Below are 1,622 nucleotides of genomic sequence, written 5' to 3'. Positions count from 1 at the left end.
AAAGGGCATCCATTTTTCTTCAATTAATAATGTAAAAAAAAGAATACATTAGGCTGGGCACGATGGCTAGCACCTGTAATCCCAGCATTTTGGGAGTCTGAGGCAGGTGGATTGCTTGAGGTCAGGAGTTCAAGTCCAAGACCAGCCTGGCCAACATGGCAAAATCCCATCTCTACTAAAAGTACAAAAATTAGCTGGGTGTGATGGTATATTCCTGTAGTCCCAGCTACTCAGGAGGCTTAGGCAGGAGAATCACTTGAACCCTGGAGGTGGAGATTGCAGTGAGCTGATATCACACCACCGCACTCCAGCCTGGGTGACAGAGCGAGACTCCATCTCAAAAAAAAAAAAAAAAAAAAAAAAAAAAAAGACTATATTGACATGGTTAAATTTTCAGGACCCCAAGTTCTTTAGGGATGGACTAAATGGCTAGTGCATCATTGCCTACAAAAGTGTATTTGTATTGCCATCCCTTAACTCTGGAGATCCTCCATAAGCCAATTTTCATAAACCCATACTCTTTATCACAGTGATTGATTCAGAGATAGACATTGACCCAGGCCTAAACCAGTCCTCTGGCTATAGGGATTAGTTCGTGGACAGGTATTTTACTACAGAAGTCCGATCGAAGTGAGATTTAGGTCTTTATTTGTTGGTTGGGCAGAAAGAAGCCTTCCTTCTTTTACTGAAGTTAAATAAATAAAATGCATATTATCTTATTGCTGCTGATAACTATTTTGCAGCCATGGAAAGAAGTAGTTTAGGAAGATGCCAATACGATAAGAAATAAAGCTAATCTGTGGAAAGAAATTTAACCCTTGGTGATAGTTTTAAGCTGCTGGATCAAGTCTTGCCTGAAGCACTTTCTACCACATACCTTTTCAGTTATAAAGTAATTAAATTCTCTTTATTGTCTAAACAAATTTGAGCTGGGTTTTCTATTACTTGCTTTTAAGTACATTTTAACTGACTCTCCATGAAGAGTTGTCTATAGAGTCAGAAAACAATGGCTTTCAAAGGGGCCAGAATACAGAAAATCTATTTAATCCTTGTTTTCTATTGGACTTTATATATTCTGGCCCCTTTGATACTAATTTCTCATTGTGAAAAAAATATTGGTATTCTGATTTTACATATTAGTTTGTTTAGCTTGTATAATGTGAGATATGGATTCATTCTCAAGATCCTGACAAAAATCCAATTTCTGAGTTTGTCCTTTTGGGAACCATGATCTACTCTCAAGGCAATGAATATCATCCTGTGGAGGCATTCTGGGAGAAGACCTTGGTGAGCATACTGGTCTGCCTTGAAGGCTTTCCTAAAACTTGCATTTCCTTTTCTTCCCCTTGAGTTTCTAGAATCACTGGAAAGTCTTCTGTACATCAGTGAGTGCTCTCAAATAGTAGCCAGTGCTACCTTGTCTCTGACACTTGGCCTCACAATCATGGGAGCCTCCTCCTTAGGTGCTGCCACTTTTTCTGGCTAGCAAAAGGCAGCTGAGTTCTTCCTTCGAGGGTATGAGTTCTTTGTATGTGGTCATAGCAGAAGTGATATCATCTAGCATGATGCCTAGCATATAGTGCATTGACTCTGAATCTGAGGGGCCCCTCTTGTTCTGTCAT

The sequence above is a fragment of the Homo sapiens genome, chromosome 9 (genome assembly GCF_000001405.40).
Source record: "Homo sapiens chromosome 9, GRCh38.p14 Primary Assembly".
NCBI classification, from domain to species: domain Eukaryota; kingdom Metazoa; phylum Chordata; class Mammalia; order Primates; family Hominidae; genus Homo; species Homo sapiens.
Note: the sequence above shows the minus strand (reverse complement) of the source record.